Raw genomic sequence first — 14,033 nt, 5'->3', positions numbered from 1 at the left:
GGGGTGGGGTGTGGCCACCGGGGCACATGTGGGGGAGGGTGACAGGAAGCCCCGCCCACCTGGGCACCTGTTCTGTGGCCTCCACTGTGTGGCTTGTGGGGTCGTTTGGCAGCTGACGCCTAAAGAACCCCAGAGGAGCTGTGTCCTGGCCGGTAGGTGTACTTGTAAGGACTTTCTGATGCAGACAGCAGAAGATGAAGTCAAAGTGACAAGCAACAGTGGGGATTCCCTGGCCCTCCTGAGTCGACAGACCAGGGCCGCCTGGCGAGTTTCCCCTTTCGTGGCTCTGCTGCCTCTGAACTGGCCACATCCTCACTCAGCCTGTGATGGTCCTAGGTGACTCCAAGTCACCCCTGCAGTCAGCAGACCCAGTGGGAGGTTGGCTCTGCCCGTGTCATGTTAGCGTGATGTGGGTCTCAGCCCTGCGCCAAGCACACTGGGGGAGGGGCACATGCTGACCTGTCCAGCCCAGGCCTCGGAGCCTCGGGCCTACCCCAGAAGGGAGACTGCCCCTGATCATCTCATCTGCCTGGACCCAGCAGAGAGGGGGTTCCCTGAAGGGCCCATGGTGCAGCTGCCAGGACAGGGCAGGGATGCTGGCAGGTGAGAGCCACAGAAGCTCACAGTGGAGCCCCGAGGTGCCCTGACGTGGCCCAGGGTGCAAGGGGGTCCTCACAGGCTGTCTTCTCTCCTTGGAGTCCGGGGCTTCCTCCGCAGCCCTGTCCACACCTCTTCCTGCACTGCAGACCGGTTGTTTCTGCCAGGGCGCTGGCGTCTGAACCTGCAACAGGTCATTCGGCCTCTGGCATGACATGGGATGGCTTGATGACCCACAGCTCTGGGCCCAGCACCACTTGAGGACGAGTGTGCATGTCTCAAGTTCAGATTTTGGAGCATGGCCCTCCAGGGACCGGCTGCCTCCAGCCCAGTCTCCCCCTATCCAGTCCTCTGTGGCTGGGCAGTGGGGGGCCTGGGCCCCCCTTTCGTCTAAGCAAGTGCAGTTTCAGAAAAGGGTTGTCCCCAAAACTAGCTTATTGCACCCCTCATGGCCAGAAGCCACTCTCCAACTGGTCACACTGACCCGGGAGAGAACCATTGCCCCCAGAGTCGGGACCAGAAGGGGAAGCTGGGACTCAGGGGTGAGAGCAGCTGGCAAGAGCCCCCACCTGTCCAGGGGGAGCTGAGCCGGGCAAGGACGGGTCTACCTGCACTCCCCAGGGCTGCCCTGCCCTGGCCTTTCACTGACCCACGGTCCAGCGCGGCCTGGCTTCGTAGTACCCTGGGCACCTGCTGCGTGAGTGAGGAAACCTGCGTGGCCCACTCTGCTCTCCAGGGCTTCTGGGGCCTTGGAGACAGGTGAGACCCAGTGACAAGTTCCACTCTGGCCCACACACAGCTCCTGCCTCCCAGGGCGAGCAGCACTCTGTGTCTCCACTCCTTATTTGGAAAATAGGGTTAAGGAGGGTCAGCCCTGACCACAGAGGAAGTGGAGAGTCAGGGCCACCCAGGCCAGCTCCTGTTGCCACAGCAGCCTCGTCGAGCCACCAGAGTCCGGGGAGGGTTGCTCAGTGCCCCTCGTTTGAAACAGACAAGCACTGGCCTGCTCGTCTTCATAATAATCCCATAGCAACCAGTAGGAATGGAAACTGCGTTTCTTAAAACTCTGAAATTCTGAAGGATACTGATCCATGGCTCACAGCTGTGCTCGCTGAACGTGGACAATCATTTGGGGGCTTTTAGGCCTTTTTTTTTTTTTTTTTTTTTTTTGAGATGGAGTCTCACTCTGGTCACCCAGGCTGGATTGCAGTGGTGTGATCTCAGCTCACTGCAACCTCCGTCTCCCAGGTTCAAGCAATTCTCCTGCCTCAGCCTCCCGAGTAGCTGGGACTACAGGCTCCCACCACCGTGCCCAGCTAATTTTTGTATTTCTAGTGGAGACGGGGTTTCACCATATTGGCCAGTCTGGCCTGAAACTCCTGACCTCAGGTGATCTGCCTGCCTCAGCCTCCCAAAGTGCTGGGATTACAGGCATGAGCCACCACACCCAGCCAGGACTTTTTTTTTGAGACAAGGTCTGGCTCTGTCACCCAGGCTGGAGTGCAGTAGCTCGATCACAGCTCACTGCAGCCTCAAACTACTGGGCTCAAGCAATTTTCCTGCCTCAGCCTCCTGAGTAGCTGGGATTATAGCCGCCCATCACCACACTCGGCTAATTAATTTGATCTTCAATCACTGATACCCTTTCTTCCACTAGATCGAATCGGCTACTGAAGCTTGTGCATGCGTCACGTAGTTCTGGTGCCATGGTTTTCAGCTCCATCAGGTCATCTAAGGTCTTCTCTACACTGTTGATTCTAGTTAGCCATTCGTCTCATCTTTTTTCAAGGTTTTTAGCTTCCTTACCATGGATTCAAACATCTTCCTCTAGTTCGGAGAAGTTGGTTATTACCGACTTTCTGAAGCCTACTTCTGTCAGCTCGTCAGAGTCATTCTCTGTCCAGCTTTGTTCCCTTGCTGGCGAGGAGCTGCGATCCTTTGGAGGAGAAGAGGTGCTCTGGTTTTTAGAATTTTCAGCTTTTCTGCTCTGGTTTCTCCCCATCTTTGTGGTTTTATCTGCCTTTGGTCTTTGATGCTGGTGGCCTAAAGATGGGGTTTTGGCGTAGATGTCCTTTTTGTTGATGTTGATGCTATTCCTTTCTGTTTGTTAATTTTCCTTATAAGAGTCAGGTCCCTCAGCTGCAGGTCTGTTGGAGTTTGCTGAAGGTCCACTCCAGACCCTGTTTGCCTGGGTATCACCAGTGGAGGCTGCAGAACAGCAACTATTGCAGAATAGTAAATATTGCTGCCTGATCCTTCTTCTGGAAGCTTTGTCCCAGAGGGGCACCTGCCTGTATGAGGTGTCAGTGGGCCCCTACTGGGAAGTATCTCCCAGTTAGGCTACACGGGGGTCAGGGACCCACTTGAGGAGGCAATGTGTCCGTTCTCAGAGCTCAAACACTGTGCCGGGAGAACCACTGCTCTCTTCAGAGCTGTCAGACGGGGACGTTTAAGTCTGCCGAAGTTTCTGCTGCCTTTTGTTCAGCTATTCCCTGCTCCTAGAGGTGGGGTCTACAGAGGCAGCAGGCTTTGCAGAGCTGCGGTGGGCTCTGCCCGGTTCGAGCTTCCCTGCCGCTTTGTTTACCTACTCAAGCCTCAGCAATGGCGGACGCCCCTCCCCAGGCAGGCTGCCACCTCGCAGGTGGATCTCAGACTGCTGTGCTAGCAGTGAGCAAGGCTCCGTGGGCATGAGACCCTCCGAGCCAGGCCCGGGATATAATCTCCTGGTGTGTCGTTAGCTAAGACCGTTGGAAAAGCGCACTATTTGGGCGGGAGTGTCCTGATTTTCCAGGTGCAGTCTGTCACGGCTTCCCTTGGCTAGGAAAGGGAAATCCCCCAACCCCTCGCACTTCCTGAGTGAGGCGATGCCCCACCCTGCTTCGGCTCACCCTCCATGGGCTGCACTCACTGTCCAACCAGTCCCAGTAGGATGAACCAGGCACCTCAGTTGGAAATGCAGAAATCGCCGTCTTCTGCGTCAATCACGCTGGGAGCTGCAGCCCGGAGCTGTTCCTATTCAGCCATGTTGGAACGGAATCCCCACACCCGGCTAATTAAAAAAAAAGTTTTTTTTAGTGACAGTGTCTGTCTGTGAGACCCAGGTTGGTCTTGACTTCCTGAGCTCAAGCGATCCTCCCTCCTCAGCCTCCCAAAGTGTTGGGATAACAGACGTGAACCACTGGATCCAGCCCTTTTAGGACTTTTAAGGGAGAGAAGAAAGGTGGTTCCTGCCCGTGGTGCCCTGTGGGGGTTTTAGATGTTCAATGGTAACCTGCTCACTCTGCAGGGAGGCTGTCCACACCTGCTTTTCATAGCCAAGAAAGGCGCCGATAAATAATGAAAGAACAGGGTCAGCAGATGAGAGCTGGCCCAGCAGCCTGGGACGCTGTCCTCAGAAGGCCCACGTGTGGGACGTTGCCCTCGGCTGGTCAGAAGGCACATGTGTGGGAGGTTTTTGCCCTCGGCTGGCGTCTGGGAACAGGAGGTCCCCCCGCTGTTCGCTGATAGGAGCAGCTCACCTTGCCACACTGTTTTTGCACATGCCACGATTTATGCCCAGCATCCTCCTTCTGGGCATAAAGAGTCTCGGCACATGCCAGGCAGAGGCGGCCGCACTGCCAGCCTAGGCAAAAGCCCTGGGAACTGAGTCTCGCACAGCTTCCCCGTCAGCATCCCGCACCTGTGCTCGCAGCCCGAGCGTCCCGTGTGGCTCCGCCTGGGGAGGGTTCCACGCTGCGGCTGGTCTCCCCGGCCCCGCCCGCACCTTCTCCCCTGGCTGATGCCCTCCCCGTTGTAAGTCATGGCAGTGAGTAGGACTGTCGCCAAGACCTGGGACTCCTCCCAGCGAGAGTGCTCCCTTGCGGTATCTTCTGAGTCAGTGGTGAGCGTGGAGCCCCCTCCCTCAAGCCCTGGGACTCCTCCCCGCAGTATTTTCTGGTGAGTGATGAGCGTGGAGCCCACTCCCTTTACAGCATTTTCCGCTGCATCCATTCATGTTATTTGTGGCCTGGAACAGGTAGGAGGATGACCCAGGTGAGCACAAGCAGATCCGGACGCAGCTCTGCTGACTGCCGACCTTCTGGGGAGGCCAGACCCGCCTCGGGAAGCCTCAGGACGCAGCCTGCAGGGAGGGTCGGGCACATGGCACCCAGTATTCAGATGTGCGGCCTCACTCCCAGCCCGAAGGGAGCCCAGCAGTGGTCCTGGGCATGGGCAGACAGTGTAACGGGCGAAACATACTGCTCCCTCCCATCCCAGGCCTTGTGCCCCCGGCCCACCTGCCATTCTGTACTCTCCCACCTGGACTGGAGACAGCAGGAAGTGCAGAAGCCACCTGAGAGGATGAATCTGCACTCGGGGAGGTGGAGGGCAAGGAGCTTTGGGCGTGTGTGGCCAGTCCCCCTCAGGCTGGCCTCAGGGAGCTGTACCGTCCCAGCCTGCACTGCAGGTTTCTGCTGCCTCAGTGGGATGCACCTCACCCTGACATGGGCGCATTCGCCCACTGTGACTAGGTGCCACTGAGCCCAAGGTCCCTTCTCAGCCCATGAGCAGCTCTGCGGGCGTCCTGCCCCCTGTCCTCCCACCTCCCTTTCTTCCTCATCAGCTTCAGGGGACACCTCTCTCTAGGTCCTCCTTTCATTCCAGCCTCCATTGTCCTCAGAAAAGCCATTTCAGTGACTTCAAAATAAACCATCTCAGGGCTGGGCGTGGTGGCTCACACCTGGGATCTCAGCACTTTGGGAGGTGGAGGCGGGTGGACTGCTTGAGCTCAGTTCACTCAAGACCAGCCTGGGCAACGTGGCAAAACTCCATCTCTACCAAAAATACAAAAAAGTTGGCCTGACACGGTGGTTCACACCTGTAATCCCAGCACTTTGGGAGGCTGAGGCAGGTGGATCACCTGAGGTCAGTATTCAAGACCAGCCTGGCCAACATGGTGAAACCCCATCTCTATAAAAAAAATACAAAAATTAGATGAGCTTGGTGGTGGGTGCCTATAATTCCAGCTACTCAGGAGGCTGAGGCAGGCGAATTGCTTGAACCCAAGAGCCGGAGGTTGCAGTGAGCCAAGACCACGCCACTGCACTCCAACCTGGGTGACAGAGTGAGACTCCATCTCAAAAAATAATGATAATAATAATTAACTGGGCATGGTGGCATGTGCCTGTAGTCCCAGCTACTCAGGAGGCTGAGGTGGGAGGATCACCTGAGCCCGGAAGGCAGAGGTTGCAGTGAGCCAAGATCGCGCCACTGTACTTCAGCCTGTTTGTCAGAGTGAGACCCTGTCTCAAAAAAATAAACCATCTCAAAAGGGATCCAAAGCTAAAAGGGCCAAACAGAATTGTGTCCCATGAGACATGGAGGGCCTTTGAGAGGAAAAAGCCCAGACCTGGCCCAGCTCTGGGACTCCACACGTTAGGAGGGGCTGAGGCAAGGAGCGGCCACCCTGCCAAGCTGAGCCTTACAGGCAGGGGCCATGTAGCCTGCCGTCCACCGGGGAAATGGATCATTGCATCCAGACAAAGACCAAGGTGTGACCACGCAGACCTGGATGTCCAGCCACCCACGTGCGCCCAGAGCGGCCCACTGTCCTCCCGCGGTCCCCGGGGCCCAGCGCCCATCCCTCCAGCAGCCGTTCCCAGTCAGCACGCTGCCACCCCCGCCCCCGGTGAGGGCTTCCCCTCTGTTCAGACCCCTGTCACTTCACACAGGCCCCGAGGCTGCTGCTTCTTTGACTTACCAGGACCCAGCGAGTCAAACGCCCACCGGCCCCGACCCAGCAGTGTCAGGGGAGCCCCTGGTCCATCTGCAGAAAACCAGGATGCCCGCACTTCCTTTTTTTTTTTTTTTCAGACGGAGTCTCACTGTCACCCAGGCTGTCCTGCCTCAGCCTCCCGAGTAGCTGGGACCACAGGCGCCTGCAACCACGCCTGGCTAATTTTTTGTATTTTTGGTAGAGACGGGGTTTCACTGTGTTAGCAAGGATGGTCTCGATCTCCTGACCACCTCGTGATCCACCTGCCTCGGCCTCCCAAAGTGCTGGGATTACAGGCGTGAACCACCGCGCCCGGCCTTTCATTCTTTTATAGCCGCTTTACTGAGACGGAATTCGCTGGTGAAAGTGTGCGGGTCATTTTTAGTGTGTTCTCAGAGTCGTCCTGCCACCACACATCGTCACATCATCTTTGTCACCACGGAAGGAAGCCCCAGCCCTGATGGGGGTCACTCCCTTGTGCTCCCCGAAGCCCCTGGCCGACCCGCTCCCCTTTCTGTCTCTAAGGATCTGCCTTTTCTGACGTGTCCGGTGAATGGAATCTTACGGCTCATGGGCCTTGTGTCTATTTTCCCCTCACACAGGGTTTTTGGGCTTCACACACACAGCCTGTGTGAGGACTCCATTCCTTTTCGTGGCTGAGTCATGGTCCACAGTGTGGAGGGACCACGTGTGGCTGAGGCTTCCACCCATGGATGGGCATCCGGGTGTTTCCAGCTTGGCTGCCAGGGAGCGAGCCGCTGTGGGTGTTGGTTCATGCACAGGTTTCCACGTGGACACACTTTTCAGTTCTGTTGGGCGTGTACCAGGGAGGCGCTGCCGGGCGGCGTGGCCACCCTGCGTGGCGCTGCCGGACCTCTCACCAGGTGCTGCGTGTCACGTTCTTACATGGTGTGTGAGGGCTCCAGTTTCCAGTGAGTTCACTTTTAATGTTTTGTTTTGTTTGGTAAAAATCAACCTTAGACAATCAGCGATCAGACTCTAGTCCCTGTCGTGGTGAACTGTGGAGAGACCAAAGTGAGCCTCTCTCCGGCTCTTGGAGCACCAGGGCCCATGCAGCCTGTCTTGGGGTCATTTGAAATGGTGGAAACTTTACAAGGGCCCGATGGGCAGGTGAGCCCCACTCGGCCTCCAGGCACAGCCCTCCTCAAGGTCCCTGCTGTCCATGCAGGTGGCAGTCCTACTCTGTGGGTGAGTCCTGGAGCCACTTGTGACAGGAGGAGGCTGGATGGGGTGAATTTGGAGAAAAGTGGCAGGTTTTTGTTTTTTATTTTTTTGAGACAGGGTTCTCTGTCTGTTACCTAGGCTGGACTGCCGTGGCGCGATCTCAGCTCACTGCAGCCTCTGCCTCCTGAGCTCAGGGGATTCTCCTGCCTCAGCCTCCCAAGTAGCTGGGATTACAGGTGTGTGCCACCATGCCCAGCTGATTTTTTGATTTTTTATAGAGATGGGGTCTCACCTTGTTGCCCAGGCTGGTCAACGAGAGAGAAAAGTATTTCAGAGACTTAAAAAAAGAACCATCGGTGGTCTCCAGTGTGCTTAAGAGCTGCGGGTGGAGCTGTTTGCGTTCCTCCTGAAGGCTTTGGCTGCCAGACATGGCTGGGCTGCAGATACTTGCTTTACTAAGAGGTTTTCCCTCCCTGCCGTCCAGGTGTGTCCACAGGTGTCCACACAACCAGGTGTCGTGAATGTCTGTTCACACTAAGTGGGCTTCTCAGTAACCCCCTGGCCACACCCCCATCTCACCCATCCCAGGAGCCTCCTGGGACCACACACGGGGGTCGGGAGCTTAAAAGAACAGAAACACGGCCGGGCACAGTGCTCACACCTGTAATCCCAGCACTTTGGGAGGCCAAGGCAGGCAGATCACCGGAGGTCAGGAGTTCGAGACCAGCCTGGCCAACATGGCGAAACCCCGTCTCTACTAAAAATACAAAAACTAGCTGAGCATGATGGAGGGCGCCTATAATCCCAGCTACTTGGGAGGCTGAGGCAGGAGTAATCGCTTGAACCCGAGAGGCAAAGGTTGCCGTGAGCCGAGATCGTGCAGGCAAAGGTTGCAGTGAGTCGAGATTGTGCCCTCCAGCCTGGGCGACAACAGCAAGACTTCGTCTCAAAAAAAAAAAAAAAAAAAAAAAAGCCAGAAACGCATTCTGTCTCGGTCTGGAGGCCGGAAGTCTGAGCTCAAGGTGTGGGCAGGACCTCGCTCCCTCGGAAACCTGCAAGGGACCTCTTGCCCCTGCAGCTTCTGGTGGCCCCCAGCCGTCCGGAGCCCATGGCTGTGTGTCTCCCGCCTCTGACCCCATTGCCACACGGCCACCTTCGCCCTGTCTCCTATAAGGACTGCAGTGTGTGGGATGAGGGTCCACCCCCATGTTAGTGACCTCATCTTACTGAATCATATCTGCGGCAACCCTGTTTCTAACTAAGGTCACATGCTGAGCTACACTGGGGCCATGATTTCAGCATAACTTTTGGGGATACAGCTCCACCCATTAACACAGATGAACTGTGATTTATTTAACCAAATTTCTGTTCCCAGTATCTCAACCACAATTTTAAATTGGCATAATGGGTTATACATAGCTGTAATTATTTTCTTAGGATAAACTCCTACAAGTGGAATTGCTGGGCCATGATCTTTTTTTGTTTGTTTGTTTAGTGAGAGTGTCTCACCCTGTTGCCCAGGCTGGAGTGCTGTGGTGTGATCATGGCTCACGGCAGCCTCAACCTCCTGGCCTCAAGTGATCCTCCTACCTCAGCCTCCTGAGTAGTTGGGACCACAGGTACACACCACCACACTTGGCTTTTTTTTTTTTTTTAGAGTTGGAGTCTTGCTGTGTTGTCCAGGCTGGTCTCGAACTCCTGGCTTTAAGTGATCCTCTCATGCCCTTTTTTTTTTTTTGAGACGGAGTCTTGCTCTGTCACCCAGGCTGGAGTGCGGTGGCACAATCTCGGCTCACTGCAACCTCCGCCTCCCGGGTTGAAGCGATTCTCCTGCCTCAGCCTCCCAAGTAGCTGGTACAGGTGCCCGCCACCATGCCCAGCTAATTCTTGTGTTTTTAGTAGAGACTGGGTTTCATCATATTGGCCAGGCTGGTCTCGAACTCCTAACCTTGTGATCCGCCTACCTCGGCCTCCCAAAGTACTAGGATTACAGGCGTGAGCCACCGCACCCAGCCCCATGATTGCCTTTTAAGATAGGGTAGCTGCACTTTCACTAAGACAGAGGTTGGCCAACTCCAGCCCATGGGTCAAATGTGAACCACCTGCTGGGTTTTGTTGTTGTTGTGGTTTTGGGACGGAGTCTCCCTCTGTTGCCCAGGCTGGAGTGCAGTGGTACAATCTTGGCTCACTGCAACCTCCGCCTCCCAGGTTCAAGCGATTCTCCTGCCGGCTACTGTACTCCGAGTAGCCGGGACTACAGGTGCCCACCACCATGCCTGGCTAATTTTTTGTATTTTTAGTAGAGGCGGGGTTTCACCATGTTAGCCAGGATGGTCTCGATCTCCTGACCTGGTGATCCGCCCGCCTCGGCCTCCCACGGTGCTGGGATTACAGGCGTGAGCCACCGAGCCCGGCCCACCACCTGCCGTTTTTTAAACCCATAAGCCAGGCATGGGTTTTATAATTTTAAATTGTTCAAAAAACCAAAAGAGTAATATTTTGTGACATGAAAAATTATATGAAATTCAGATGTTGATGAATAAAGTTTTATTGGCACAGAGCGTGCACATCTGCTCGCATGCTGGCTTGTGGCAGGGCTGAGGGGCTGTGACAGCCCCATATGGCCCACAAAGCTGAAAGGATTTGCTGTGAGGCCCTTTACATAATGCATTTGCTGATGCCAGCTCTAAATATCCATATTTGCATTCAGATTGGTTTCAGAAATAAATATGCGTTGAATGCAGCTGGGCCTGTGAACGTGGTGGTTGAATTCAGCTGGGCCTGTGAACTTGGTCGTTGTGTTTAGAATGTGTTGTCTTTCCCAGGTGTTGTGTGTTTGTGCTGCCGAAGCTGCTGAAGGCGGCCTGTAGAGGGCAGGGGCCCAGGCAGGCACAGTCACTTCACTGGTGTCTTGGTTGGTGCTTGGAGCACCTCAGGAGGGAATATGTCCTTAAGGAAGGAAGACAGGCCAGACAGAGGGGCCTCGGAGTGTTGGCTTCTACCAGGCTCCTGCTGAGGTGGGCGCTCAGGGAGACGGCTGGAGGATCCGAGGAGAGCCAAAGCCCCAGGCGGTGCCCTCCCCTTCTCCTTCTAGAGCAAAGTCCTGGCCCACTGCCTGTTTAAAAGCACTTTTTTCCAACAATACACACTGTAAAATTTGAAGAAGTTTTCAGTGAACACCGCCGCTGCCACTCACCTCCGGAGTTTGCCGTGGGCATTTGCTGTGCTGGTGCCATCACACCTGGCATCACCCCGGCCTCCTGGCATCACCCCAGCCTCCGTGCTTCCTGCCCTGTGCTCACCCGTCCTCCTGCTTGGGGTTTTTATTGTAAAATACACAGAACGTAAAATTGACCATGACAGCCACCTTAACGTGCACCACTCGGGCACAGTCCATTCACAGCGTGGTGCCTCCATCCCTTCTACCTGCTTCCAAACAGTCCATCCCAAGAAGAAACCGGTACTCATCAGCAGGCCCTCCCCAGCACCCACCCCCAGCCCCGGCAGCCACTCAGCCGCCTCCTGCCTCTGCGGACCGGCCTGTTCCGGAGGCTTAATGAGCAAATCACAGCCTGTGTGGCCCTTGTGTCTGCTTCCTTCCCTCACATGAAGCTTTCCAGGGCCGTGCGCGGTGTGGGGTGCCCTTCCTTTCGATGGTTGGGTAGTGTGCCGCGGTACGTGCGTGAGTTTCCTGAGACATAACACGTTACCACAGGCCAGGTGGCCTTAGCGGAAATGGATTCTTGCCGGATTCTGGAGGCCAGAAGTGCAAAATCAAGGTGTCAGCCGGGCCCCTCCCCCTCAGGCTCTCCAGGAAGGTCCTTGCTGTCCCCTGGCTGGTGGCTGCGTCACTCCAGTCTCGGCCTCGGCCTTCACCCGGCATCTCTACTGCATGTCTGCGTCTCTAAGGGCCCAGTCATAGGATTGAGGGCCCACCCTGGCCCAGCGTGACCTCATCTTAGCTCACTACATCTGCAGAGACCCTACTTCCAAATGTGGCCACACCCACGTAGTACACGCCGGCCGCACTTTGTCGTCTGCCGATGGGCGCTCAGGGTGCTCCTGCCTTTTGGCCACTGAGTCGTGCTGCCCTGGACGCTCGTATGCAGGCCTGCGTGTGGACGTAAGTTTCAGTCTCTTGGGTGTACAGCTAGGAGTGGAGTTGCAGCGTGGAACTGCAGGGTCACACGATAACTGGGCTTCTGGGGGACAGTTACCAGTTGACTTTGAAATCTAGACGTGTACAGACATACGAGGGCCTGTGTATTTATGTTGAAAATAGATGCACGTGTTTAGAGGCCAGCTCCTGCGAGCATGCAGATGCTGGTGTCAGGCTGGGAGGAGGCAGACGGACACATTCCCCACCTGAAGACCAAGCAGAAGTGGAGGCGAAAGACAGCGTGGGCTGACCGTGGAGCGGCCCCATCGTGCACGCACGCAGGCGATGCTGAGGTTTGGGCTGGCGTGGAGCGGCCCCATCGTGCACGCACGCAGGCGATGCTGGGGTTTGGCCGAGCTCTGCCGCTGGCTGGGACACAGGGTGGTGCTGGCTTCCACGGTCCCCGACACGCTCTTGGCACCATGGGCAGCTCCCCAGGCCAGAAGCACCTGCAGAAGGCGCTCATTCCTCCTCCCCGTGCTCTTCCCTGCAGATGGGATGGGGTGACCTCGGGGTGTATGGAGAGCCCTCCAGAGAGACCCCGAATTTGGACCGGATGGCTGCAGAAGGGCTGCTTTTCCCAAACTTCTATTCTGCCAACCCTCTGTGCTCGCCATGTAAGTCAGCGGGGCCCTCGCCCCCAGGAAGGGGTGAGCCCAACAGGCCGAGGCCTCCCGGGTCCTTCCAGCCCTGACTCTGGGCGGCTGCATCAACCTTGTCTATTCCTACTACTGCAGGGAGGGTGGCAGGTGGGCTCAGGCCTTTCTCATCAAATCCCAGCCCGGCTCCGTGCCATGTGGGGTGCGGCACCTGCTGGGTTTTCAGGGTCGAAGTTGCGGTATTGTTGGTGGCTGCTGTTCTGTTTCCCAGAGTCGAGTGCTGTGGCCGCCTGGGGAGAGGTGCTGCAGTGTGGCTCCGTCTCAGGGTACCTGGGAAGCAGGAGTCCCACTCCCTCCCTCCCTGGGGAGAGTCTCTCCTGCTGGAGACAGAAACATGTGGTGTTGATCGTGAGGAAGAGGAGAAGGCAGGGCACGGGGCTGGTGCTCGAGGATGGGGGCGTGTGGACCTGCACGCCCAGTGGGTGTCCCAGGAGCCTGCGAAAGGAGGCGGGGTCTTGGGGACAACGCTGAGCTGCAGGGCCCAAGGGCCACGCGTCTTTCAGTGGAATGGGTGCCGTGCCCCACCCAGGTGGTGGAGACGCTAACGGGGATTGACAGGCGTGGCAGCCCCTTGTAAACCTGCGCGTGCCTCGTCTGTCACGCGTCTGTCTACTCGTTGGGGCTCTTGTTGACGCCCGGGGTCTGAGCCACACCCTTCTTATCCAGTTTCTGTTTCTGTCACCTCCACATAGCGAGGGCGGCACTGCTCACAGGACGGCTACCCATCCGCAATGGCTTCTACACCACCAACGCCCATGCCAGAAACGGTAGGCTGCCCACCGCCTCCAGGGACACCCTTGGGGTGCAGGGTTGGGCAGGTGGGCTACGGGTGGTGCCCGTGTCTCCGGGACTCGGGTGGCAAGCTGCAGGTGGGGTACCGCTGGTGCCTGGGTCTCTGGGACTTAGGTGGAAGTGCAGGCCCCCCTAGCTGGCTTCCTTCCCTGCCCTGGCCCAGTGGGGACTGAGCGGAGGGTGCCCAGTCTGGCCTAAGGAGCTGAGCCGGCACCCCCACCCCAGAAGCTCCCACTCCCCAGGCGGGTGAGCCGCACACCCACAGGGAGGCCGGGGCTGTGGCATCAGCGGCAGTTCTGGAATGTTCTGGAATCGCTGTGCTTGAGGGGTTTGGATGGGCTCCCCAGGGGCATCTCACAGGGGAAGTGGGATTTCCAGTGGCATTTGAGGAAAGGGAAGGACGGGGGAGGCAGGGGTGGGGCAGTGCAGCATCACGTGGCATATTCCAGAGACCCCTGGAGACCAGGCAGGTGGGAGGCTGGCCTGAGAGGCAGGGTGGGGCCTGAGGGTGGGCAGGAGTCCCAAGGAAGGCGCTGGGGGGCACGGAGTCTGCCCCGTCCCCACCCTCTGGTGATGGCACTGGCTCTGAGGGGTGCCTGGAAAAATCTTGGGAAGTGCCATGCCCTGTGGACGCGCAGCCCCCAGGCACAGCCTTTGACCCCGAGGGGCCAGTGTCCTGTTAGGATGTGTGGACGCAGCCCCCAGTGTCCTGTTAGGATGGGGTTGGTGGCAGCTTCTCGGGGTCTCCTCGGGGCTCACCCAGCGCTGCTCTTCCAGCCTACACACCGCAGGAGATTGTGGGCGGCATCCCAGACTCGGAGCAGCTCCTGCCGGAGCTTCTGAAGAAGGCCGGCTACGTCAGCAAGATTGTCGGCAAGTGGTAAGT

General features: G+C 57.1%; 1 protein-coding gene across 10 annotated transcripts in view, besides 2 other annotated features; it reads left to right on the top strand.

Moving 5' to 3' along the window:
• GALNS (galactosamine (N-acetyl)-6-sulfatase) overlaps positions 1-14,033 on the top strand; it is a 43,214-nt gene that overhangs the window by 1,929 nt on the left and 27,252 nt on the right. For 3 of the 10 annotated variants that reach the window (NM_000512.5, XM_005256301.4, XM_047433890.1), the window contains exons 2-4: positions 12,190-12,313; positions 13,048-13,122; positions 13,925-14,027. In NM_000512.5, coding sequence (NP_000503.1) covers positions 12,190-12,313; positions 13,048-13,122; positions 13,925-14,027 — 302 coding nt within the window. Of the gene's footprint in view, positions 1-9,888; positions 11,990-12,189; positions 12,314-13,047; positions 13,123-13,924; positions 14,028-14,033 lie in introns of those variants that run through there. The other 7 variants (NM_001323543.2, XM_017023113.2, XM_047433891.1 and 4 more) reach the window with 4 other exon arrangements.
• Positions 9-78: a silencer, noted in NCBI's record as "silent region_7882". NCBI's record gives its function as "represses an Ori minimal core promoter by ATAC-STARR-seq in GM12878 lymphoblastoid cells {active_cell/tissue: GM12878}" and the evidence as "EXISTENCE:reporter gene assay evidence [ECO:0000049][PMID:35858748]".
• Positions 4,676-4,845: an enhancer, noted in NCBI's record as "experimental_46374 CRE fragment used in MPRA reporter constructs". NCBI's record gives its function as "activates a minimal promoter by MPRAs in K562 erythroleukemia cells, with activity observed for both the introgressed and non-introgressed 16:88916667 variant alleles {active_cell/tissue: K562}" and the evidence as "EXISTENCE:reporter gene assay evidence [ECO:0000049][PMID:34662402]".

Source organism: Homo sapiens, chromosome 16 (assembly GCF_000001405.40).
Source record: "Homo sapiens chromosome 16, GRCh38.p14 Primary Assembly".
NCBI lineage: Eukaryota > Metazoa > Chordata > Mammalia > Primates > Hominidae > Homo > Homo sapiens.
Note: the sequence above shows the minus strand (reverse complement) of the source record. Positions and strands in the feature narration are given on the sequence as shown.